At 52.8% G+C, this 24,740-nt stretch overlaps 1 protein-coding gene, 1 non-coding gene and 1 pseudogene across 6 annotated transcripts, besides 6 other annotated features; all 3 read left to right on the top strand.

The window, feature by feature from the left end:
- Positions 1-9,846: 9,846 nt before the first annotated feature.
- Positions 9,847-9,963, top strand: LOC124900316 (uncharacterized; annotated as a pseudogene).
- Positions 11,292-11,917: an enhancer, noted in NCBI's record as "H3K27ac-H3K4me1 hESC enhancer chr11:119192049-119192674 (GRCh37/hg19 assembly coordinates)". NCBI's record gives its function as "activates a minimal SCP1, AML or CMV promoter by ChIP-STARR-seq in naive H9 embryonic stem cells {active_cell/tissue: H9 hESC(naive)}" and the evidence as "EXISTENCE:reporter gene assay evidence [ECO:0000049][PMID:30033119]".
- Positions 11,918-12,543: an enhancer, noted in NCBI's record as "H3K27ac-H3K4me1 hESC enhancer chr11:119191423-119192048 (GRCh37/hg19 assembly coordinates)". NCBI's record gives its function as "activates a minimal SCP1, AML or CMV promoter by ChIP-STARR-seq in naive H9 embryonic stem cells {active_cell/tissue: H9 hESC(naive)}" and the evidence as "EXISTENCE:reporter gene assay evidence [ECO:0000049][PMID:30033119]".
- Positions 11,980-12,419: a silencer, noted in NCBI's record as "silent region_3978". NCBI's record gives its function as "represses an Ori minimal core promoter by ATAC-STARR-seq in GM12878 lymphoblastoid cells {active_cell/tissue: GM12878}" and the evidence as "EXISTENCE:reporter gene assay evidence [ECO:0000049][PMID:35858748]".
- Positions 14,497-14,546: an enhancer, noted in NCBI's record as "active region_5629". NCBI's record gives its function as "activates an Ori minimal core promoter by ATAC-STARR-seq in GM12878 lymphoblastoid cells {active_cell/tissue: GM12878}" and the evidence as "EXISTENCE:reporter gene assay evidence [ECO:0000049][PMID:35858748]".
- Positions 15,788-15,847: a silencer, noted in NCBI's record as "silent region_3977". NCBI's record gives its function as "represses an Ori minimal core promoter by ATAC-STARR-seq in GM12878 lymphoblastoid cells {active_cell/tissue: GM12878}" and the evidence as "EXISTENCE:reporter gene assay evidence [ECO:0000049][PMID:35858748]".
- Positions 16,126-24,727, top strand: MCAM (melanoma cell adhesion molecule). Of its 5 annotated transcripts, none has more exons than XM_017017759.3 (16): positions 16,126-16,221; positions 17,993-18,117; positions 18,216-18,423; positions 18,507-18,577; positions 18,680-18,767; positions 20,307-20,486; positions 20,608-20,729; positions 20,828-20,990; positions 21,086-21,204; positions 21,307-21,448; positions 21,605-21,726; positions 21,835-21,913; positions 22,071-22,166; positions 22,353-22,500; positions 22,790-22,907; positions 23,341-24,727. In XM_017017759.3, exons 1-16 carry the CDS (start codon positions 16,155-16,157, stop codon positions 23,368-23,370), a joined length of 1,878 nt encoding a protein of 625 aa, XP_016873248.1. In that variant the 5' UTR covers positions 16,126-16,154; the 3' UTR covers positions 23,371-24,727. The 5 variants fall into 5 exon arrangements, with proteins under 5 accessions (XP_016873248.1, NP_006491.2, XP_016873251.1 ...); NM_006500.3 differs by having other exon boundaries at positions 21,835-21,976; XM_017017762.3 differs by lacking the exon at positions 22,790-22,907.
- Positions 17,440-18,135: an enhancer, noted in NCBI's record as "H3K4me1 hESC enhancer chr11:119185831-119186526 (GRCh37/hg19 assembly coordinates)". NCBI's record gives its function as "activates a minimal SCP1, AML or CMV promoter by ChIP-STARR-seq in primed H9 embryonic stem cells {active_cell/tissue: H9 hESC(primed)}" and the evidence as "EXISTENCE:reporter gene assay evidence [ECO:0000049][PMID:30033119]".
- On the top strand, positions 20,244-20,306 carry MIR6756 (microRNA 6756). The gene has a single exon (NR_106814.1). It is a non-coding gene; the product is annotated as a microRNA 6756 (primary transcript).

The following is a 24,740-nucleotide window of genomic DNA, read 5'->3' as shown; positions in this document are numbered from 1 at the left end:
TTCTCTCTCCCTGCTCTCAGGCCCTGGCCAGGTTATGGTTTGTTGTGTTGTGATGTGTTGCTGATGTTTTTATTTTCCTACTCGCATCCTCCCGCCAGTGTCAAATCTTGGAGAATGTGCCCACCTCCCTTTCAAGACAGTTGATCCCATCGCCCGTACCATCTCCTCTTAAGGGATCTTATTTGTCCAGTGAACACTATGTTGTTATTAATCAATCTTCCTCCAGCACTTGACACCACTTCCTCCACCCTTGGCCTCAGAATCATTACCCTTTCCTATATTCTTTCTGTTTCCATCATAGCCTCCTCTCCTGTATACACGATGATTTCTGAATTTGTGTCTTCAGCCTGAACCTGTCCTGCAAACTTCAGGCTCCAGCTGCTTCCTGGACATGAACGGTTCATGGGTATCCCACTGGTGCTTCCTACACAATATGTCCAAAGTCAAACTTGGCAAACGTGCTGTGCCTGCACTGCGTGCAATTAACTGGCCAGTTTTCCACACCAAGAAGCATGTAAAGTCCTTCTCAGAGTTGGCAGGATCCTCTAAGAGAGAATTTCCATTCGTTTAGGACCAAGACCTCCCCTTTGAGTGATTTGAGACTCACTAATCCAAAGCCCTCTTTAATGAGCCACAACCCTTGACTCCCAGGAAACCTAGCAGGTAATCCTGCTTTGGGCAGGGACAAAGACTCCAACTGGCTTTGGGGAGGCAGTTCAAATTGTTTGACAATGTTAGTCCCAGGGATTGAGAAGAAAATAAGCCAGATATTGAGAAAGCTGAACACCTAGAAGCCCTATCCTTGCAGTATTTTCTAATGGAAGATGTAGTGTAAAGCCCTCTGGAGGCCTGCTCTGGTGGCAGCTGGTTTCTGCTGTTGTGCTAACTTCAGGGGTTTTTTTGTTTAGTTTTGTTTTGCTCAGCGTAAGATTCTAGCTGGGACAATAGAAGGGATTTTTAGAGACTATGAAGGACTGAGGATTAAGAGATTGGAAAAACCAGAAAAGAATGTCTAATTCAGGGGTTTTGTTTTGTGCTATTGTGTATATTACGGCCCTCCCCATCGTCTCCTCATCAAGCATTCAGTAAAATCTATATTATTGCCATGTTTTAGGTTGGTTTTTTTTATTTTGTTTTTTAATTATGCAAATCATTTACAGGGTCCCAAAGTCAAAACTTTATAAAAAGATACAGTCACAGAAGGTTTGCTTTCATCCTTGTACCCTCCACCCTGTTCCCTCCCAGTGCCACCCAAGCTTGAGAGGACCCCAAGTATTACAAACATAGACAACAAATGTCTCCATAAAGGAGCACCTGGGTCCTCTATCAGTCAGGATCCAGTGCTCGTTACTGGTACGGAAAAGCCTATAGCCCCAAACGTCAGCTCTGCAAACAACACGGTTCAGGCCCGAAGAAGCTCTTCAGCTCTTCTGCACTTGTTTGAGACAGTCTCGCTCTGTCACCCAGGCGGGAGTGCAGTGGCACGAGCTCAGCTTACTGCAACCTCCACCTCCCAGGCTCAAGTGCTTCTTGTGCCTCAGTCTCCCCCAGTAGCTGGGACTACAGGCGTGCACCACCACACCCAGCTAACTTTTGTATTTTTAGTAGAGACGGGGTTTCACCATGTTGGCCAGGCTGGTCTTGAACTCCTGGCCTCAAGTGATCTGCCTGCCTCGGCCTCCCAAAGTGTTGGGATTACAGGCGTGAGCCACCGTGCTGACTCTGTCCTACACATCTTACAAAAAAAAAAGAAAGAAAGAAAAAGAAGAAAAGAAAAGGAAAGAAAGAAGAAAAGAAATTAACGTGGTTTGTGCAATGTGGCTGAGGAACATTTTTCAATATTAATTCCTATTTATCTTTAAATTTGCATATATGTAAATATAGAGAAAACACGCATGTGTATTTAACTAGCTATATTCTAGTTTTGACTTAAGGAAAAACTAGTTTTCCCTAGTTTTGCACTAAGGAAAAAACCTACTTGCAATTTTAGTCTTTGATTTAAAAGACTGTCAAGGGCAAGTCGATGATAACAGTAATGACATGGTTAGTAAAGATAATAAAGATGAACAAGCCAGGATTTTGGCCAAAAATCTAGAAGCATTTTTTTGGTGACATGTCCCCTGTATGGCACATAGTTGAACTTGTTATTAGAAGACACAGCCTAATTGTGCTGATAATAATGGCATTTTTGGAAAAATAAAAAGATTATATGCAATATTCTGGATGTGCCCAAAGATGAAATATCTTGGAAAAAACTGTATCACAACTGACCTTACAACTGCTCTTGGATACATGATGGGAATGCTGGCTAAATGCTGTTAAAACAAGTCGGTTTAATTTAGACAAGAAACTAGAAGGGCTGGGCACCATGGCTCACACCTGAAATTCCAGCACTTGGGGAGGCCAAGGTGGGCGGATCGCTTGAGCCCAGGAGTGCAATACCAACCTAGGCAACATGGCGAAACCCTGTCTCTACTAAAAATACAAAATATTAGCTGGGCATGGTGGCATGTGCCTATAGTCTCAGCTACTCGAGAAGCTGAGGTGGGAGAATCACCTGAATTTGGGAAGTCGAGGCTGCAGTGAGCTGTGATTGCACCACTTTACTCCAGCCTGGGCAACAGGGTTGAGATTCTGGAAAGAAAGAGAGAAAAAGAGAAAGAGAGAGAGAGAGAGGAAGGAAGGAGAGAAAGAAAAGGGAGAGAGAGAGAAAAAAAAAGAAAGAAGGAAGGAAGGAGAGAAAGAAAGAAAGGCAAAGAAAGAAAGAAGAAAGAAGGAAGGAAGAGACAAAGAAAGAGAGAGAGGAGGGGGAAGAAGGGAAAGAAGGAAGAAAGGAAGGAAAGGGAGGGAAGGAAGGAAGGAAGGGGAAACTAGAAGACTGAGCAGCGTTAAGAAGATTCACAAAGAGCAAATTATGGTCTCAAATGGAAAATCAAATTACCCTTGCATGTGCACTACCCACAGATATTTGAGATGGTTGTTTAATATGAATAATATTGATAAAAGTGTAACCAAAATACTGCTCATTTGGATATTTTTTTAAACAAGTGATGAGCCACTATTGATACTTTATTATGAACTGAAGTCCACAGTTTACATTAGGGTTCACTCTTGGTGTTGTACATTCTATGGGTTTTGACAAATGTTTAATGACATTTATCCATCATACAGTGTTATAGAGAATAGTTTCATTGCCCTAAAAATTCTCCGTGCTGTGCCTATTCATCCCTCCTTCCCCCCAGACTCCTGGCAACCACTGATCTTTTTACTGTTTCCATAGTTTTACCTGTTGTAGAACGTCATATAGTTGAAATCGTACAGTATGTAGCCTTTTCAGATTGGCTTCTTTCTCTTAGCAATATGGATTTAAGTTTCCTCCATATCTTTTCATAGCCCATTTCTTTTTAGCACTAAACAATATTCCATTGTTTGGATGTACTAGCTAATTTATCCATTCATCAATTGAATGACATCTTGGTTGCTTCCAGGTTTGGGAATGATGAATAAGGTCTGCTATAAACATTCATGTGCATTCAGGTGGACATAAGTCTTCAACTCATTTGGGTAAATACCAAGGAACACAATTGCTGGATCATAAATATAGCATGAGTATTTTTAGTTTTGCAAGAAATCACCAAACTGTCTTCTAAAGTGGCTGTACCGTCTTGCATTCCCACCAGCAATGAGTGATAATTCCTGCTGCTGCACATCTTCCTCAGCATTTTGCAGTGTCAGTTTTGGATTTGGGCCATTCTAATGAGTATGTAATGGTATCTCGCTGCTGTTTTAGTTTACATTTCCCTGACAGTATATAGTGTGGAGCATCATTTCATATGCTTATTTTCTATCTGTATATCTTCTTTAACAAGGTGTCAAGGTTTGGGACCCACTTTTAGATTGGGTTGTTTTCTTATTTTTAAGTTTTAAGAGTTTCTTTTATGCCAGACCTACAGTCCCAGCTACTCAGAAGGCTAAGGCAGGAGGACCACTTCAGCCCAGGAGTTCTGGGCTGTAGTGCACTATACCAATAGGGGTCTGCACTAAGTTCGGCATCAATGTGGTAACCTCCCAGGAATGGGTGACCACCAGGTTGCCTAAGGAAGGGTGAATCAGCCCAGGTCAGAAATAGAGCAGATCGGCCGGGCATGGTGGCTCATGCCTGTAATCCCAGCACTTTTGGAGGCCGAGGTGGGCAGATCACGAGGTCAAGAGATAGAGACCATCCTGGCCAACATGGTGAAACTCCATCTCTAAAAAAAATACAAAAACTAGCTGGGCATGGTGGCACACGCTTGTAGTCCCAGCTACTTGGGAGGCTGAGGCAGGAGAATCGCTTGAACCTGGGAGGCAGAGGTTGCAGTGAACCGAGATCGTACCACTGCACTCCAGCCTGGTGACAGGGTGAGACTCTGCCTCAAAAAAAAAAAAAAAAAAAAAAGTAAAAAGAAAAGAAAAAAGAAATAGAGCAGATCAAAAATCCTGTGGCGATCAGTAGTGGGCTCATACCTGCGAATAGCCATTGCACTCCAGCCTGGGCAACACAGTGAGAATCTGTATTAAAAAGAAACAAAAAAAAAGAGTCCTTTGTATATTTTGGATAACAGTCCTTTATCAGATGTGTCTATTCAAATATTTTCTCCCAGTGTGTAGCTTGTCTTCTTATTCTCTTGATAGCTGCTTAATTTTGAAAAAATAAAAACACAGGAAGGTTAAACCAGAAATAACATTAATTACTTCAAGGGGTGGCGGGTGGAGAAATGGAATGGAAGGGATGGGGAGGAAGTGACACTCCTTTGAGTATACCGTTTTTGTATAATGTTGACTTTTTTTTTTTTTTTTTTTTTGAGACAGAGTCTCACTCTGTCACCCAGGCTGGAGTGCAGTGGCATGATCTTGGCCCACTGCAACCTCTGCCACCCGGGTTCAACTGATTCTCCTGCCTCAGCCTCCCGAGTAGCTGGGATTACAGGCGCCTGCCACTGCACCTGGCTAATTTTTGTAGTTTATAGTAGAGACGGGGTTTCACCATCTTGGCCAGGCTGGTCTTGAATTCCTTGACCTTGTGATCCACCCGCCTCGGCCTCCCAAAGTGCTGGGATTACAGGCATGAACCACCACACCTGACCTAATTTTGACTTTTGGAAGAATGCTAATGTTCTTTATATTCAAAAATTAAATTAAATTAAATCAATAGAAATGAGAAAGAAAAAACCAAAATGCAAATAGAAAAAAAAACCCAGCTGCGTTTCATATAGAATAATATAGTCACACAAAAAGGGAAGGGGTACAAGCTAACTGTAGACCCCCGTGGCTCACGCTTGTAATCCCAGAACTTTGGGAGGCCGAGGTGGGTGCAGTACTTGAGGCCAGGAGTTCAAGACCAGACTGGGCAACATGGTGTCGCTACTAAATAAATACATACATACATACATAAAACACATGTGCATGTTTGTTATAAATGTTATAATAATAAATAAATAAATTAGCCAAGTGTGATGATGCATGCCTGTAAGTCCCAGCTACTTGGGAGGCTGAGGTGGGAGGAACACTTTGAGCCTGGAAGTTCAAGGCTGCAGTGAGCTAAGACTGCACTACTACACTCCAGCGTGGGTGACAGAGCGAGACTCTGTTTCAAAAAAGAATAATAAGAAAAAAAAATATTTTAAATATTTTCTGGGATCAAATATTTATCATATGTAACCCCTTTAAAATATTTGAACATGACATATAAAATGTATGATCCCTTTCTGAGTCTAAGTCTTGCTTAAGCATATTAGTAATAATTTCATTTGCTAAGGCCTCAGCAGAGCAGTTTCTCCATATTAAAATTAATTTGTTGGCCGGGCGTGGTGGCTCATGCCTGTAATCCCAGAGCTTTGGGAGGCCGAGGCGGGTGGATCACCTGAGGTCAGGATTTCAAGACCAGCCTGGCCAACATGGGGAAACCCAGTCTCCACAAAAATACAAAAATTAGCCGGGCATGATGGTGGGTACCTGTAATCCCAGCTACTCAGGAGGCTGAGGTGGGAGAATCGCTTGAACCCAAGAGGCAGAGGTTGCAGTGAGCCGAGATAGCGCCCATTGCCCTCTATCCTGGGTGACAGAGCGAGACTCCGTCCCCCCCTCAAAAAAAATTAATTTTTTAAGGCCAGGCCAGGCACAGTGGCTCACGCTTGTAATCCCAGCATTTTGGGAGGCAGAGGTGGGCAAATCCCTTGAGCCCAGGAGTTCAAGACCAGCCTGGGCCACATGGCAAAATGCCATCACTACCAAAAAAACGAAAACAAAAATTAGTCGAGCCTGGTGACACTTGTCTGTGATCCCAGCTACTTGGGAGGCTGAGGTGGGAGGCTCACTTGAGCCCATGTTGCAGAGGTTGCACTGCAGTGCAGATGTTGCAGTGAGCTGAGATGGCACCACTGCACTCCAGCCTGGATGACAGAGTAAGACCCTGTCTCAAAAAAAAAAAAAAAATGGCCGGGGCGCGGTGGCTCACGCCTGTAATCCCAGCAGTTTAGGAGGCCAAGGCAGGTGTATCACTTGAGGTCAGGAGCTGGAGACAAGCCCGGCCAACATGGTGAAACCTCGTCTCTACTAAAAATACAAAAAATTAGCTGGGCATGATGGCGCATGCCTGTAAACCCAGCTACTTGGGAGGCTGAAGCAGGAGAATCACTTGAACCTGGGAGGCAGAGGGTGCAGTTTGCTGAGGTTGCACCACTGCAGTCCAGCCTGGGCAACAGAGCGAGACTGTCTCAAAAAAAAAAATTATTTTTTTGAAGACGTCGGAACAACTATGACTCAAGAAAGGCCAATTAATTTGGCATTACTGGCAATAGAACATGAATTATGAGAAATGTTTTATTATAACAACATAATTAAGGAATTTCCTGAAGTGAAGGCAAGGAAAATTAATTTATGGAATAAATATATAATCATGAATTGTGTATGACTTTATTACACATGTAAATATTGCTAGTCTATCATAAGCATACCCAGGCAATAATATATGTAATAATATATGCAATAATAGCTAAGTTAACTTATCTTTGATATTTTGTTGACTTTGGAGCATCCAAAAACCATAGCGTTACTTTTTTGTTTTGTTTTGTTTTTTTGAGACAAAGTATCTCTCTGTCGCCCAGGCTGGAGTGCAATGACATAATCTCAGCTCACTGCAACCCCTGCCTCCCGGTTTCAAGTGATTCTCCTGCCTCAGCCTCCTGAGTAGCTGGGATTACAGGCAGGCGCCACCACGCCTGGCTAATTTTTGTACTTTTAGTAGAGACAGGGTTTCACCATGTTGGTCAGGCTGGTCTCGAACTCCTGATGTCAAGTGATCTGCCTGCCTCGGCCTCCCAAAGTGCTGGGATTACAGGCGTGAACCACCGCACCCAGCCAGCTTTACACATTTTTAAATTTTGTCATTAGAAGGCATATTTGTCAAGGTAGGAGGATAGAGCATACCGAGCAGCTAGTTAGCTTTCAAATATTTCAAATATTTAGACATATGATATGTCAGCCTTCATTTATACCCTGCCTTATCTCCACAGATGTTATGAGGGTGGAGGGCTGTTCCTTCTATCCCTCTTTAGGTAGCTATTTTTATGTTTTTTATTTATATATTTATTTTGAGACAGGTCTTGCTCTGTCATCCAAGCTAGAGTACAGTGGCACCATCTTGTCTCACTGCAGCCTTGACTTCTCAGGCTCCAGCGATCCTCCGACCTTGGCCTCCTGAATAGCTGGGATTACAGGCGTGCGCCACCACACCCAGCTAATTTTTGGATTGTTTTGTTTTGTTTTTGGTAGAGGTGGGGTTTCGTCATGTTGCCCAGGCTGGTCTCAAACTCCTGGGCTCAAGCCATCCACCTGTCTTGGCCTCCCACAGTGCTGGGATTACAGGTATGAGCCATCTTGCCCAGCCATATACCTATCTTTTTAATTTAAAATCATGTTTGGTAAAGACTGTAAAGCATAGCCTTCCCTTCTCATCTATTTGTTTATGGATATCTTTTTATTATCAGTTTGGAGTCATGGATTCCTATTTTATTCAAATTCAATGGGTTTTATTCCATTACAGTCCACACCAGTGTATAGAGATTGTCCTCACTGTTTTTTGTTTTGTTTTTTTTTCTGTTTCTGTTTTTTTGAGACACAGTCTTGCTCTGTTGCCCAGGCTAGAGTGCAGTGGCACAATCTTGGCTCACTGCAACCTCCGCCTCCCAGGTTCAAGCAATTCTTGTGCCTCAGCCTCCTGAGTAGCTGGGACCACAGGCGCGCACCATCATGCCTGGCTAATTTTTGTATTTTTAGTAGAGAGAGGGTTTCACCATGTTGGCCAGGCTAGTCTTGATCTCCTGACCTCAAGTGATGGGCCCGCCTCGGCCTCCCAAAGTGTTGAGTGTGAGCCACTGCACCCGGCCTGTCCTCATTCTTTTAACAGTTGCGTAGTACTCCACTGCATGGATTTGGTGCAAGGATTGTTTTTAGTGGACTCAGTGAAGTGCTGTATCCCACCTCCAAGAGGTTGCCAAGGGGATCTCAGTCACATATGGATGACATAAGGGAAGAGCCCCCATCCCCACACGTATCTCTCATTCTACTGTGAGACTATTATGATAAAATGAACTGGCTTGTGGGAGGTAAAATAAGGCCACACTTTGTGTGCAGGAGGCAGGCTCCCCAGAAGGGATTGGCTGTTTTCAACCTCATCACCCAAGGGAAAAGAGGGATCTGAGAAGGGAAATGGAAACTTAGTAAGAGGGGCCTTTTGTTCTGTCCCTCTGGGGCCTGAGCTCTAATTTAAAGTCACTCATGGTTGCTCCCCTGCTTAACACCATTTATACACAGCCTGTTGCTCTGAGTAATTGACCATGGCTTACAAATCCTTTGTAATCTGGCCTCATCCTTCACTAACCTCAGCCTTCCCTTGCAGAATATTAACCAACTCCTAGCAGCCCCCTGCACATAGCGAGCTCCGCCACACTTCAGACAGCACAGCCCACCCCCATTTACCTGGCTACCTCCTATTCACCGCCTAAAATGAAGCTCGGCATCAGCTCTTCCAAGAAGCCTTCTTTCATCACCTCAGGCTGGGTTAAGTAACCGTTTTATGTGCATATTTGCACCCTGGTACGCAGCTCTTTGTGTTATAATTATTTATTTGTCTGTCGCCCTCACGAGACTGTACGTTTCTCAAGCACATGACCCCTTGTTTTAGTTATCGTCCTGTCTCCAGCCCCCAGCTTAGTTCCTCACTAGTGTGCTGTATCCCAAATCACAATACACATATGCACCGAGTTATGACACAGAGAAGGGAATTACAATGCCCCTCTTGACCTCAAACCCTCTCTGCCCACATATCATCCCTAGCTTTGTTGCAAGGCTGTCATTACCCAGGATGAAGTGAAACAGAACCCAAGAGTCTGGCTTCTGCGATTCATCAATCCCGCTTTTCAGTCCCCCATCCTCCCACCTGCTCTGTAGGATGAGAAAACAATTCAAACTAGGGGCACCAGGGGGCGCTCTCAGGCCAAGATGAAATCAAGAAACCATGGTAAACCTAAATTCCAATGTCACATCGTTTTTCCACTGCTCAAGAACCTGCAGTGGCTCCCCATTGCCCACCCTATCTTAAGCTGTTCCCCTATAACCTAAGCCCATCTCATCTGCCCAAGCTCCCACGTGCATGCACCCTCTACCGTGCTGAATTTCTACTTAGCCATGTAACTCACAAGGGTGATGCCAAGGGGTAATGGTGTAGCTAAAGCTAGCCCCCTCTCCACTTAGGTAGGTCTGGCTGCGTCAGCCACCCACATCCCTCTGGTGGCTGGGGAGCCCGGGGTTGGATGAAAATCATCCCGGGCTTTGCCAGTGGCCGCGAGTGCCCAGAGCTTCCAGGGGCCTCAGCTCACCATGCACTGCCCCGTGTGTGGCAGTGAAACCCAGGCCCTGACAGGCGCCGTGTAAAAATAAATACATAAATAAAGCTATCCTCAATGCGCTCCAAGTAAACGGATACTGGAAATGAAAGTAGTGGACTAGGCCGGGCAAGGTGGCTCACGCCTGTAATCCCAGCAGTTTGGGAGGCTGAGGCGGGCGGATCACTTGAGGCCAGAAGTTCAAGGCCAGCCTGGCCAACATGGTGAAACCCTATCTCTACTAAAAATACAAAAATTAACCAAGCGTGGTGGTGCGCCTGTAATCCCAGCTACTCGGGAGGCTGAGGCAGAAGAATCGCTGGAACCCAGGAGGCAGGGGTTATAGTGAGCCGAGGTCGAGCCACTGCACTTAAGCCTGGGCAAATGAGCAAGACCCTGTCTCAAAAAAAAAAAAAAAAGTGGGATTGCTATGTGAATATAATCTCAAGACAAGTCACCACCAACTCCATCTTCTAGCCGGATGGCTGCTCTGACACTTTCTGATAGGGAAATTCTGTAGTTGTCCATATACGTGCCCCTTTCGTGGGTCCCATCTCTCTCTTTTTGCTTGTGTCATTTCCCCTGCCTCGAAAGATCATTCCTCACTCCTCCGTATCTAAACCTGACCTTTCATTGAAGGCTTCACATTTCCAGAAAGACTTTCCTAGCCAGCACAGTCCACATCAACACTCCCTTTTCTGAATCCCAGTTGCACTTCCTGTCTTTACCACACAACTGAGCTCTTAATTCAGCTGTGATTATTACACATAGACTGCGCAGGTTTTGGAGTTCGTTAGGTAAAACTTGGTTCAAATTTTGGTTCCTTGGAGTGATGACAAAATTCTGGAACTTGATTATGGTGATAATTGCACAACATTGTGAATGTGCTGAATGCCACGGAACGCTGACGTTTAAACTGGTTAGTATTCTGTTATGTGCATTTCACAATTATTTATTTGTTTATTTTTGGAGATGAGGGTCTCCATATGTTGCGCAGGCTGGCCTTGAACTACTGGGCTCAAGCAATCCTCCTACCTCAGCCTCTCGAGTAGCTGGGACCACAGGTGCACACCACCGTGCCAGCTGTTAACACAGTTGTTTTTTGTTTGTTTGTTTTTTAAGACGGAGTCTCACTCTGTCGCCCAGGCTGGAGTGCAGTGGCGTGATCTCGGGTCACTCCAACCGCCACCTCCTGGGTTCAAGCAATTCTCCTGCCTCAGCCTCCCGAGTAGCTGGGACTACAGGCGCGCGCGACCACGCCCAGCTAATTTTTGTATTTTTAGTAGAGATGGGGTTTCACCATGTTGGCCAGGATGGTCTCGATTTCTTGACCTCGTGATCCGCCCGCCTCGGCCTCCCAGAGTGCTGGGATTACAGGCATAAACCACCGCGCCCAGCCTCTTTCCTCCCCTCTCTACTCCCGGCTCCAAGATCAGCCCTGGCAGCAGCAGTGAGGGTCCCAGGCATCGCCGGGATGGGATGGAACAAGGCTCCCCTTCTCCAGGGCTACCCCTGGGATGCTGGCAGCCCCGTGTGGCAGGGAAGAGGAACTGCAGGAGCGTCCTTCAGGGAGGAGAGGGGCCAGAAGACCTCAACATGGCGCCCCCAGGTTTCCCACAGGCCCCCTCCTGTAGACCAGCCGGCCTTCCCCTCAGTGACGACTCAAAGTCAGATTTGAAGAGCTCTCTGGGGACATTCCTCTCCCTGGATGGTGGTATTCTGGGGAGCGGATGTGAACTTCCCTGAAGGGGAGAGGTGTAAACTCCCAGCATCCTGCTACCACCCTCCGCCCCCATCACCCTTCATTCCCCAGGTGCAGGCTGGGGGCAGAGGAGAGGGAAGGGGATTAGGTGCTGGGGCCGGGGAACCGAGACCCAGGGTGTCACCGCTGACAGCAGCGGGGCCCGCAGAGCTGCAGGGAGACAGAGCCGCCTCCCCGCGGCGCCGACGCTGCCATCTAGCTAGAGGGCCCCACTCTTTCTTTAACCAGAGGTCACAGCCTCATTGCCTACCCAGGAGGCAGCCCCGAGACGCCCCCTGCGGCCTGGGTTTTCTCCACCCTGTCCCCGCGCCCACCCCAGCTCTGCCATCCCCGGCTGCACCGCTTTGTAAAGGGGACGGCTGGTCAGACCGAATCACTGCGCGGGCTCGCGCTGGGTCGGGCCTGGAGACTGGATCTGGGGCTTCCGGAGAGCCCCAGGCTCCCCGCGCGCCCATCCACCCGCAGCCGCCTGAGCATTTATGGTAATGTTTGGGTTGGGGCGAGCGGCCGGATCCCCGCCCCCTGCCTCCGCCGGGCGGGACCTCGAGGCCGGCTCCTGGGGAGCTTAGCGCCGGCGCCTTCCCGCCGCGGCCGGGTCCCCTGGGTGGAGGCCCTGGGTGCCGGAGGCCTGAGGTCCGGCAGGTGGGCTGGCCCCCGTGCGGAGGCTCCTAAGACCGGGGGGTACGAGAGGGACAGTCCCAGTCGGTCGGAGGAGGGGTCCGCGGGGTTGGGGACTCCGATCCCGCTCAACCTACCCTAACCACCCACTGCTGCCCACCCAACCCCCGCCTCTGGCTTAAGAGTCCATCATCCCCAGGAGGAGTCCCGATGCATCCACATCCTCTTTCTCCTTCTCTCCCCCCACCCCCTGGCAGGGAAGGGGCTGAGGGAAGAGGCCAGCAGCTCTCAGGGGAGTCGTCGGAATGCTGGGAGCCTGGGAACAGACCCTGCGGTCCCTGGGAAAGCCAGGCTGTGGGAATCCCACCGTCAGCCCCCTCCCCAGGATGGGCCACCGGATGTCAGAGACCCCAGTTCCCCAACGGGGATCTTTGTGAGGGTGGGCCCTGCCCCCCAGTTCAAGCCCCAGCCTGGCTCGACCCCAGAGTTCAGTAGGCCATCTGTGACGAAGACAGCCCCTCCCCCGCTCTCCGCCCTCCACCCCCCTGCCTGCTCCAACATAATCCTCGCCATTGTGCCCGTCGCCCCCTCCCCCCGCTCCCCCTCTCTAGACCCCTGTACAATGGGGCCTTTGCAGCCTCCAGAATGGAGATGAACTCACGGTTTTTCCAAGTTTAAAAATAGCCCCTCCCATCCCGCAGAAGGCCACCCTCCCTCTCTCCCATGGTGGTGTGGGGTGCACCTCCATCCCGGCTGTGCCTCCTTCCTCCTGCCCTGGGTCAGGTGCGAAGGACATGGGTGAGACAGCATCCGGCGGGAGCAGGGCTGCTTCCCCCGATTCAATCTCTTCCCCCACATCTTCCATCCACCCCCCAGTACAGTATCCGGTTTCCTGCCCCCTACCCTTTTCCACCCTGTTTTCACTCCTTCAGTATAATCTTCTCCTACTCACACCCACATTCTGGAAAAATTCTCCAACTTCCGCACCCCCTCCAAAGACCCAGGCCGGATCCTATTATCTGGCCTGGCCAGGGGGTTCCCCAGTCTCGGTAACTGCCAAGATTGTTGGGACTCCCACCCCATGTCCTCACAGCAGCTGCAAACACCTCTTTATCAGCTTCCTTCCTCGAGCTACTTCTGACCCACCCTTCTCATATCCTCACATCCTGGTCAAGGCCCCTGGATCCAGAAGGGTGGGTCAGAAGTCGCTAAGTTCCCTTTGCTGGAGCTGAGAGAGGACACTTGGGTTCCAGTCTTGCCCCTTCATGGCCTCTGGGGACAGGTCCATCCTTGTCTTTTTACCTCCAACTCCCCAGGGTTCCACTTCTCCTTACAATGAGCTGAAAGCTCCACCCATCCAGGAGACTGTGGCTGAGGAGCCCAACCAGGACCCCCACCCCACCTGGCCTCAGTTTCTCCACCTGTGGTCAGACCTATACCAGAGACACGCAGAGGGCATTATGCGCAGGAGGGTCCCCTCATGTGTGAGGGGCCCAGGTCCACCATGGGGCTGGAGGAAAGCAGCCTTCTTGCCTGCAACCCAACGAGGGAAAAAAGAAGAATTAGGACTCTGCCCCCAGGGCCTCTTCTGGCCCTGGCCTACATCTGAGCCAGGCTCTTCCAACCCAGTCCAGGTGCTGGGTCCCTGCAGGGTAGACGGCCGTGGCCTCCTCCTCCAACTCCCTTCTGCTGGCTGTCACTCCTGTCCTGCTGGAAGTCCCGCAGCCACCTTCTCTCCCCTGGGGCTGCCGGAGCACTAGCCTCTGGCCTCTAAGAAGAGCTGAGGGCTGATCCCCTTCACCTTCCGCTCCCTCCACCCTGCTCCCTGCCTCCACTCCTGCGTCCTTTCCGAGGTCCTGACCCGTCTTTAGTTTGGAATCCCAAAGTGCCCACCTCATGAAACCATCCCAAAGCTATCTGTCCCCTGAGGCTATGACCCACTTCCGAGCAGCCTAGACAGCCCCAGGCTACTGGCTTCCTTAAAGGACAGTCTTCTGTGCTTGTTTGGTGGGGCAATGCGAAGGGACGTCACCCTGGGCTCTAGGCTCTGACCTCATTTCCCTTTCACCGCAGAGACAAATCCTCCACCCCCACCTGGCTTCACTCTCCTCCAGCGGAAGAAGAATTCAGAACTGACTGTCCTTGGTGGTTAGCTGGCTTTGTTTTCAGGCCAGAGAGGCGAATGATTAGTTAATGGTGTTAAGTGAAGGAAGGGGGTTGGGCAGGGAAGCCAGCTCCATGCCCAGCCGGGCCTGCCAGGGCAAACGGCATCCTTCAGCCATTCCCACTCCAGCCCAGCAGACAAAACATTCTCATCTAGTCAGCTCTGGGCCTGGGGCCAGTCCATACATTCACTCTGGAGGGCGAGCCAGCGTCCTCCTCTTGTTCTCCCTGCAGGCTCCAGGCTCCAGGCCCCTGGCCCGGTGGGCCTGGGCTCTGCACAGCCTCTGGCTGGAGACTAATGGCATTGGAGGAGGGGTCGAGAAGGCTCTGAAAGACAAGCCTGGTGTGGTTTTCCAGTCATCTCTGCGTCATCAAAACGCCACCCCGGAGCATGCTCTCAAGTCACCTGGCCATCTCCAGGGTTTGCTGGCTCACCCTCCACCTCCCCCAGCGAGCAAAGGGGTGGCCCCGCTGGGCAACAGACCTCTACCCAAATCCAGGCCCCTATTTGGCACTCCCTGGTGGAGGCGCGCCAGCAGATGTGGACCCCTTTTCTGAGGCCAGGCTGCTGGGGTCAGAGTGAGGCAAGAGCACCTCCCCCTCCCTAGAGCCTTAGTTCAAGAGGCCAGAAGACCCAGGGAGAAGCCGGCGTTTTGGGAGAAGGGGAGCTGCAGAGCTCCCCACCCAAGCAGGTCTGATTTGATTCTTCCCTCAGCTATGGACCCACAATCAATAGGGCTGGGGAAGACATGGGGTGGGGGAAGATCAGCGCTGCCGGGATCCTTTCAATCATCAGGAACAGCAACAGGTTTGCAGGGTCAGGCTGGGGACCCTCGCCCATTAACTCTTTCTTCTCCCTGTTTCTTTCTCTTAGGTGAGGGGAAACTGAGTTCCAGGGTAGGCTCCAGAGTGAAGAGGGAAGAAACATGATTCTCAAGGCCCAGGTCTGGACAAGTGTGAACACCTTGGGCCTGCGAATTCAGCCCCCTCCTTCCTTTCTCTGGTCAAAGGCTAGACTTGCAGGAGCTTGCGTTTGAAGGGACAGCCCAGAAGGCATCGTCTGCACTCCCCATACAGGTACTTCTGGGTCTGTGGGACTGGCGCAGGGTTCTTCTCCCAAAGCTGCCAGCACTGAGGCTGAGGCAGTGTCAGGCCGGCGGCAGCGGCAGTGGTGCAATCGTTCTGGGAAGCGATAGAGGCCGGCCTGAATTCTCTGTGGCAAGGGAGGGGAGCCCAAGTGGGAGGCCCCTTGGGGACACCGAGGACCAGGTCCGCTACTGCTCCTCCCCCAGGAGGTCCCCTAGGGGCTACATTGGCTGGCAGGGGCTGAGCAGCGGTGAGCCTGGCTGGCTTCGACCCGGGGCGACTCCGGGCATCCGGGACAGCTTCTCCTCGCTGCCACCTCGGCCAGTCAGACCCCGAGACACCTGTCACTACCCCCTCAGCCTTCCCAAGCCAGGAGCCTGGGAGTCCGGCTCTGGCCTACCTCCGGCAGCGCTCCTAGGCGCAGCTCCCGGGCTGGCGGCGCCGGGGCCCGCCCCCTAGGGCTGCGGCGCGCGGGGCGGGGGCTGGGGGCTGCGCGGGGCGGGGCGGGCCCGGGCGCTCCGGGCCCCCTCCCCCGCCCCCCTGACGTCAGCCCCCGGCAGCCTCGAGCTGCTCACTTGGCTCTCGCCCTCCGGCCGGGAAGCATGGGGCTTCCCAGGCTGGTCTGCGCCTTCTTGCTCGCCGCCTGCTGCTGCTGTCCTCGCGTCGCGGGTGAGTTCGCTCGCAGGGGGGCCGCGCCCCGGCTAGGGGTCTGCGGTGGAGCGTGCCAGGGAGCAGAGCCAGCGGCGCGGCGGGGTCGGGGCGTTGCGTCTGGGAGGACGAGCCTCCTCCCTGGGTCCCCGATCCCCGGGCGCCTTGCGCGCGAGCAACTCTTCTTTGCAGCCAGTTTGCAGCCGGGATTCTAGAGTATCCCGGGAGCAGCACTCGGAAGGCGGGGAGGAGGCTGCTTCTGGGAACGAGAAGGGGTGGAGCTCAGCCTTTCGGGGTGCTGGGGGGTGGGTGGTCCCTGAGGTGCTCACTCTGGGGGCCCGCAATTGAAGCCGGGCAGGAGGCGCAGCTGGGGCGCATCCTCAAAGCCTGAATTCCGCGCCCGCCTGTTGCTGGAAAAGGCAGCTTCCTTCGCTGGAGGGGGTGCGCCGACCCACCCCTTCCCCCTTCTGCCTGGGCATCACGCCAGGCTGGAGGTGAGCGAGAGCGGGAGGTTCGGCGGCTCCCGCCCGAGCTGGGCGTTGGCAGGGGTTGCGGGGCGGTGTGGGTCGCCTCGCGCCTCCCCGAGTGATGGGATCATAGGGGACAGAGATGAGGGATGGAGGATTCCCATACTGGAAGCGCCCGCTGGCTTATTTTGGGGACCACATTCAGGTGGGAAGTGCGCCCGGGCACCTCGGAGCGTTTCTCCGGATCCGCCTGGTAGCAGGGCGCTCTCGGGTCCACGCTGCCCTTGTATGGCCCGCAGCGGTGTCGCGTGTTTCTCTTGGCTCCCATTCCGCCGTCCCAGCCGCTGTCCGGCTGGGGAAGGGGAGGGCTAGGCAATACCCAGCTCGCTGGCCTCATGCCCAGTGCCAACCATGTCCCTGGGGTATTCCAGGCTACTGCCTCCCAGGCTGACTTTATTTCTGGGGAAAGGGCTAAATCGGGCTCCACAGTTGCAGCCGGTCCAGCTCCACCCTGCCCTGCTCTTCTAGCTCTGGGAGGAGTCAGGGGTCTGAGGCTCTGGGTTGGAGACCCCACCTTCCACCTGCCCTCCTTGTCCGAGAGCCAAGGTAACAACCCAGGCATCCCAGAGCCCAGGCAGATGGTGTCGAGTGACATCACCTCCTCACAGGGCTGGCAGCACGCTGGCACCACTGACGTCACTCCTGCCCACTGCCTGGCCCTTGCCCTGACCCCTGGGGGAGACTCTGACCTCTCCATCCTTACCAGCTACCTAGGGTGGGGTCCGCGGGTGTGTGCGGAGTGTTCATGGAGGTGCTGCTGAGGGAGCATGAGACCGGAACTTCCGCCAGAGTTAGCCCGCTGGGGAGTGAGGGCAGGGATTTTGGAGGGCAGAGGATAGAGCAGTGGTGTCTTCCCCTGGCGGTGGTGACACAAAAGGGCCTGTGTGCCCCAGCCTGGCACATGCTTTGCATTCCCACACTCTGAGCTCACCCGGAGAGGAGGGGGCCTGGAAGGAAAGGGGCCTTCCTCTTGGCCCCGAGCCTAGGTTGCCCCTTTCTGCCCCTCTACCAGCCTCAGCTGGAGCTGTTCGGTGCTCAGTCTCTGCTCAATCTCTGCTTGGCTCCAAGGACCTGGGATCTCCTGGACGGGGAGAGGGCTGGCCCAGGTGGGGCGCGGGTCGGGGTGGGGGTAGAGCGTTCAGAGGACAGGGCCCTCTGCAGACCCTCTGAGTGGCAGGAAAAACAGCTGCAGCAGCGCTGCGAGGGGAGGGGCGGACAGCAGCCGGAGCTGACACAGCTGCGGGGGCCCCGCCTCCCTCCCCCAGGTGTGCCCGGAGAGGCTGAGCAGCCTGCGCCTGAGCTGGTGGAGGTGGAAGTGGGCAGCACAGCCCTTCTGAAGTGCGGCCTCTCCCAGTCCCAAGGCAACCTCAGCCATGTCGACTGGTTTTCTGTGAGTGCTTGGGCTCCTGCAAGAGCAGCCCGGGGAGGGAGACTCTGCCCCTCTTGTAGCCCAGGACCCTTCTCCTCCTCTGTGTCTCCTCCCATTAGGTCCACAAGGAGAAGCGGACGCTCATCTTCCGTGTGCGCCAGGGCCAGGGCCAGAGCGAACCTGGGGAGTACGAGCAGCGGCTCAGCCTCCAGGACAGAGGGGCTACTCTGGCCCTGACTCAAGTCACCCCCCAAGACGAGCGCATCTTCTTGTGCCAGGGCAAGCGCCCTCGGTCCCAGGAGTACCGCATCCAGCTCCGCGTCTACAGTGCGTGACCCTGTGTCTGCCAGCAGGGTAGTGAGGGTGGTGGGACGTGGCCAGATGTCCCCCTCATTTCTATTTTCTTGTAGAAGCTCCGGAGGAGCCAAACATCCAGGTCAACCCCCTGGGCATCCCTGTGAACAGTAAGGAGCCTGAGGAGGTGAGATGTGTGGCAGGTGGGCTGGGCAGCTGGTGCGCAGCCGCTGAGATGGGGCTTGAAGGGGGCTCGGAGGCAGGGAGACTCACACCCTGTGCTCTTTAGGTCGCTACCTGTGTAGGGAGGAACGGGTACCCCATTCCTCAAGTCATCTGGTACAAGAATGGCCGGCCTCTGAAGGAGGAGAAGAACCGTGAGTAGCCCTTTCTCCCAAAAGCCACCCTTGGGCCAGGTGTGGTAGCTCACACCTGTAATCTCGGTGCTTTGGGAGGCCAAGGCAGGAGGATCTCTGGAGGTGAGGAGTTCAGGACCACCTTGGACAACATAGGGTGACCCTGTCTCTACAGAAAATAAAAAAATTAGCCAGGCATGGTGGTGTGTGCCTGTGGTCCCAGATACTTGGGAGGCTGAGGCAGGAGGATCATATGAGCCCAGGAAATGAAGGCTGCAGTGAGCTAGGATTGCACCACCACACTCCGGCCTGGGTGACAGAGCGAGACCCCATCTCTTAAAAAGAGCTGTCCCTATGGTACTACACAGGAACTGCCTTATATTTTCATTAAGCTTTTAACTTAAAAAAATTATACAAATGGTACTTGAAAATATTTTCATGAGAATTTAAACTGACAAAAAATCTAGAAGTTTCTTCTTGCCTGAGACCCCCCCTCCCAGAAATAATCTCTGCTATCAGGGTGTGTTCTTTCAAGCCTATTTCTATGTATTTGCTCATATATAGAAATATTTCTAGAATGATATAGGCTTCTGTGTTTTATTATCTAAATCAGTCATTCTTAACCAGGGGTGATTTTGTACCCCCTCCTCCTAGGAGATACTTGGCAATGTCTGGAGATATTTTTGGTTGTCACACATAGAGGGGGTGCTACTGCCATCTAGTAGGTAGAGAGACCAAGGATGTTGCTAACATCCTATAGGGCACAGGACAGCCCCCACAATAAAGAATCAACGTGGCCTAAAACATCAGTAGTGCTGGCTGGGCTCACGCCTGTAATCCCAGCACTTTTGGAGGCCAAGGTGGGCGGATCACCTGAGGTCGGGAGTTCAAGACCAGCCTGTCCAACACGGAGAAACCCCATCTCTACTGAAAATACAAAAGTAGCCGGGCGTGGTGGCGCATGTCTGTAATCCCAGCTACTCAGGAGGCTGAGGCAGGAGAATCACTTGAAGCCGGGAGGGAGGTGGAGGTTGCGGTGAGCCGAGATTGTACCACTGCACTCCAGCCTGGGCAACAAGAGTGAAACTCTGTCTGAAAAAAAAAAAAAAAAAATTATCAGTAGTGCTGAGAAACCCTGGTCTAAGTGGTGGTGTATGGTATACATTGTTAGACAATTTCTTTTATACAATGTTTCTGGGTCAGTCTATTTAGATCAACTGATCGTTTTGCTTACTGCCAAGTTTTCCATACTACGCATAGCAGGTAGTCGAGTTCACCATTCCCCATTTAGTGGACATCTAGACGGCTGCTCGTTTTTATCATTGCAGCATTCTTTGCACACATCCTTGGATATGAGCAGACATGAAAATGTTTTTCTAGGGTTGACACTGAGCAGTAAAAGTGCTGGGTTGAAGGGTTTCCAGCTTGCATTTGTACCTGGCCTTCTACAGGGGACAGGGGGCTATTTAGATGGTCCCCTGCCAACCCCAGTGGACAACCCTAGGGTGGGGCTGGAGGTGGGGCTGAGGCTGAGTCTTCCTCCCCTTCCTCCCTGCCCAGGGGTCCACATTCAGTCGTCCCAGACTGTGGAGTCGAGTGGTTTGTACACCTTGCAGAGTATTCTGAAGGCACAGCTGGTTAAAGAAGACAAAGATGCCCAGTTTTACTGTGAGCTCAACTACCGGCTGCCCAGTGGGAACCACATGAAGGAGTCCAGGGAAGTCACCGTCCCTGTTTTCTGTGAGTACTAACCTGACTCTCTGCTTACTGGGGCTGGGGCTGCTGGAAACTCCTGCTGGCTCCCCCTTATCCAGCCCAGGGTTGACTCATGGGCCAAGAGCTACCCCCTTTGCCTATGCAGACCCGACAGAAAAAGTGTGGCTGGAAGTGGAGCCCGTGGGAATGCTGAAGGAAGGGGACCGCGTGGAAATCAGGTGTTTGGCTGATGGCAACCCTCCACCACACTTCAGCATCAGCAAGCAGGTGTGGGGGCTTTGTGCTGGGTGCAGGTGGGGATGCAAGCAGAGACCCAGGTGGAGTGGCGGGAGGTGCACTCTGCTCACCTCCCCAATCCTCCCTAGAACCCCAGCACCAGGGAGGCAGAGGAAGAGACAACCAACGACAACGGGGTCCTGGTGCTGGAGCCTGCCCGGAAGGAACACAGTGGGCGCTATGAATGTCAGGGCCTGGACTTGGACACCATGATATCGCTGCTGAGTGAACCACAGGAACTACTGGTGAACTGTGAGGGGCTGGGGACCCAGGACAGGGGGACCAGGCTGGGGCAATAGGGAACTGGCCCCACCCTGCCCTGGGTGACATGATTGCTGTACCCCCAGATGTGTCTGACGTCCGAGTGAGTCCCGCAGCCCCTGAGAGACAGGAAGGCAGCAGCCTCACCCTGACCTGTGAGGCAGAGAGTAGCCAGGACCTCGAGTTCCAGTGGCTGAGAGAAGAGGTACCCAGGCGGGTCTGGGGCAAGGGGCTGATGGGGTGGGTGGGGCTGGCGGTGACAAGAATGTGCTCTTTCCCAGACCCTCTGACCCATCTCTCATCCCAGACAGGCCAGGTGCTGGAAAGGGGGCCTGTGCTTCAGTTGCATGACCTGAAACGGGAGGCAGGAGGCGGCTATCGCTGCGTGGCGTCTGTGCCCAGCATACCCGGCCTGAACCGCACACAGCTGGTCAACGTGGCCATTTTTGGTGAGGCCCTCCCTCTGGGTAGAGACCAGGTCACCCCAAGTGGGGTGGTTTTTAAGCTCTTTGACAAAAAGCCACCTGCTGCCCTGGGGAGCTCTGGTGCGGAGGGGGAGGCAGGCTAGCTGGGCTTGCCACCTCACCTCTCCCTACCTCCCCAAGGCCCCCCTTGGATGGCATTCAAGGAGAGGAAGGTGTGGGTGAAAGAGAATATGGTGTTGAATCTGTCTTGTGAAGCGTCAGGGCACCCCCGGCCCACCATCTCCTGGAACGTCAACGGCACGGTGAGCGGGTGTCTCATCTGCCACACTCTCCTAATCCCTGCCTGCGCTTTGTGGCCAGGACCAGAGATCCTCCCCATCCCCTGAGCTGCCTCCTTCCTTTCCTCGCAGGCAAGTGAACAAGACCAAGATCCACAGCGAGTCCTGAGCACCCTGAATGTCCTCGTGACCCCGGAGCTGTTGGAGACAGGTGTTGAATGCACGGCCTCCAACGACCTGGGCAAAAACACCAGCATCCTCTTCCTGGAGCTGGGTGAGGGCTGCATCCCTGCAGGGGATGGCAGGGGCAGGCCCAGGCACGGGCAGTAACTTGCGCTTCTCCTAACACCCCTCCCTCTGCCTCCTAGTCAATTTAACCACCCTCACACCAGACTCCAACACAACCACTGGCCTCAGCACTTCCACTGCCAGTCCTCATACCAGAGCCAACAGCACCTCCACAGGTAAGCCAGGCCTGGCAAGAGAACAGGGCTGTGCCAGGGCATCCTTTCTGCCCTGTCCCTCCCCAGAGAGCCCTGTCCAGAAAGGTGAGTAGCAGCCCCATCTTGTCGGCCCTGGACTGGCTGGGCCAACGATGGTGACGAAGTGGCCTGGGGCAGGGAGTGACGAGGAGTGTCTTTGTGGCGCAGAGAGAAAGCTGCCGGAGCCGGAGAGCCGGGGCGTGGTCATCGTGGCTGTGATTGTGTGCATCCTGGTCCTGGCGGTGCTGGGCGCTGTCCTCTATTTCCTCTATAAGAAGGGCAAGCTGCCGTGCAGGCGCTCAGGGAAGCAGGAGATGTAAGCCCAACACCGGCCCCTCCGCCCCCGCCCGTTTTGCCACCCAGCCTGCTGCCTGCCCAGCGCCCGCCTGCCCCTTGACAGCAGGAGTGGGGCCCTGGGTCAGGGTGCTGCCTGCTCCACTACCCACTGCCCAGCTTCCATCAGCCACATGGTCTCATGACCTGCTTCCCTGCCCTGGGCTGGCCCTGGAGCAAGGAGCCCTCATCCATTCCACATCCTTCACAGCGGGCCCTTCTCTTCCTGTGGCCCTGAGATACCAACCTCTCACCTCCCTCCCTCCTCCCAGCACGCTACCCCCGTCTCGTAAGAGCGAACTTGTAGTTGAAGTTAAGTCAGATAAGCTCCCAGAAGAGATGGGCCTCCTGCAGGGCAGCAGCGGTGACAAGAGGGCTCCGGGAGACCAGGTAGGAGGCGGTTCCTGTGGCCAGAGCCTGCCACATCCTCAGGGACCGGGGGCAGTAGGGACTAACGGTTCTCTCTATCCTTCATCCCTCTTTGTCAGAGATAGGGAGCAGGCCCCATCTTGCCTTCTTAACACTACTCACAGATGGCAGGGCCAAGCAAGTGGCTGAGGGAGCTTGGAGGAAGACTGAGAAAGACCCTGTCCCATCACCTTTTCCTGACCAATGCCCGTGGCTCTGGGTGTGGCCATTTCACCAGTGCAGTCAGACGGGGGCCGCCCTCCTTCCCTGGCCTGCCATGCCCATCCTAGCTTCCTCCCCAACGCTGCCCACCAAATTCATCGGCTTCTGCTTCCATCTCTCCTTCCTCTCGGTGCTCACACCTTCAACTCAGCACCGTCTCCGTGTTCCCCTCTTCTCCTCTACCCACTTTTAGGGAGAGAAATACATCGATCTGAGGCATTAGCCCCGAATCACTTCAGCTCCCTTCCCTGCCTGGACCATTCCCAGCTCCCTGCTCACTCTTCTCTCAGCCAAAGCCTCCAAAGGGACTAGAGAGAAGCCTCCTGCTCCCCTCGCCTGCACACCCCCTTTCAGAGGGCCACTGGGTTAGGACCTGAGGACCTCACTTGGCCCTGCAAGGCCCGCTTTTCAGGGACCAGTCCACCACCATCTCCTCCACGTTGAGTGAAGCTCATCCCAAGCAAGGAGCCCCAGTCTCCCGAGCGGGTAGGAGAGTTTCTTGCAGAACGTGTTTTTTCTTTACACACATTATGGCTGTAAATACCTGGCTCCTGCCAGCAGCTGAGCTGGGTAGCCTCTCTGAGCTGGTTTCCTGCCCCAAAGGCTGGCTTCCACCATCCAGGTGCACCACTGAAGTGAGGACACACCGGAGCCAGGCGCCTGCTCATGTTGAAGTGCGCTGTTCACACCCGCTCCGGAGAGCACCCCAGCAGCATCCAGAAGCAGCTGCAGTGTTGCTGCCACCACCCTCCTGTCTGCCTCTTCAAAGTCTCCTGTGACATTTTTTCTTTGGTCAGAAGCCAGGAACTGGTGTCATTCCTTAAAAGATACGTGCCGGGGCCAGGTGTGGTGGCTCACGCCTGTAATCCCAGCACTTTGGGAGGCCGAGGCGGGCGGATCACAAAGTCAGGACGAGACCATCCTGGCTAACACGGTGAAACCCTGTCTCTACTAAAAATACAAAAAAAAATTAGCTAGGCGTAGTGGTTGGCACCTATAGTCCCAGCTACTCGGAAGGCTGAAGCAGGAGAATGGTATGAATCCAGGAGGTGGAGCTTGCAGTGAGCCGAGACCGTGCCACTGCACTCCAGCCTGGGCAACACAGCGAGACTCCGTCTCGAGGAAAAAAAAAGAAAAGATACGTGCCTGCGGTGAGGAAGCTGGGCGCTGTTTTCGAGTTCAGGTGAATTAGCCTCAATCCCCCGTGTTCACTTGGCTCCCATAGCCCTCTTGATGGATCACGTAAAACTGAAAGGCAGCGGGGAGCAGACAAAGATGAGGTCTACACTGTCCTTCATGGGGATTAAAGCTATGGTTATATTAGCACCAAACTTCTACAAACCAAGCTCAGGGCCCCAACCCTAGAAGGGCCCAAATGAGAGAATGGTACTTAGGGATGGAAAACGGGCCTGGCTAGAGCTTCGGGTGTGTGTGTCTGTCTGTGTGTATGCATACATATGTGTGTATATATGGTTTTGTCAGGTGTGTAAATTTGCAAATTGTTTCCTTTATATATGTATGTATATATATATATGAAAATATATATATATATGAAAAATAAAGCTTAATTGTCCCAGAAATCATACATTGCTT

The sequence above is a fragment of the Homo sapiens genome, chromosome 11 (assembly GCF_000001405.40).
Source record: "Homo sapiens chromosome 11, GRCh38.p14 Primary Assembly".
NCBI classification, from domain to species: Eukaryota; Metazoa; Chordata; class Mammalia; order Primates; family Hominidae; genus Homo; species Homo sapiens.
This window is presented reverse-complemented; position numbering and strand designations above follow the sequence as displayed.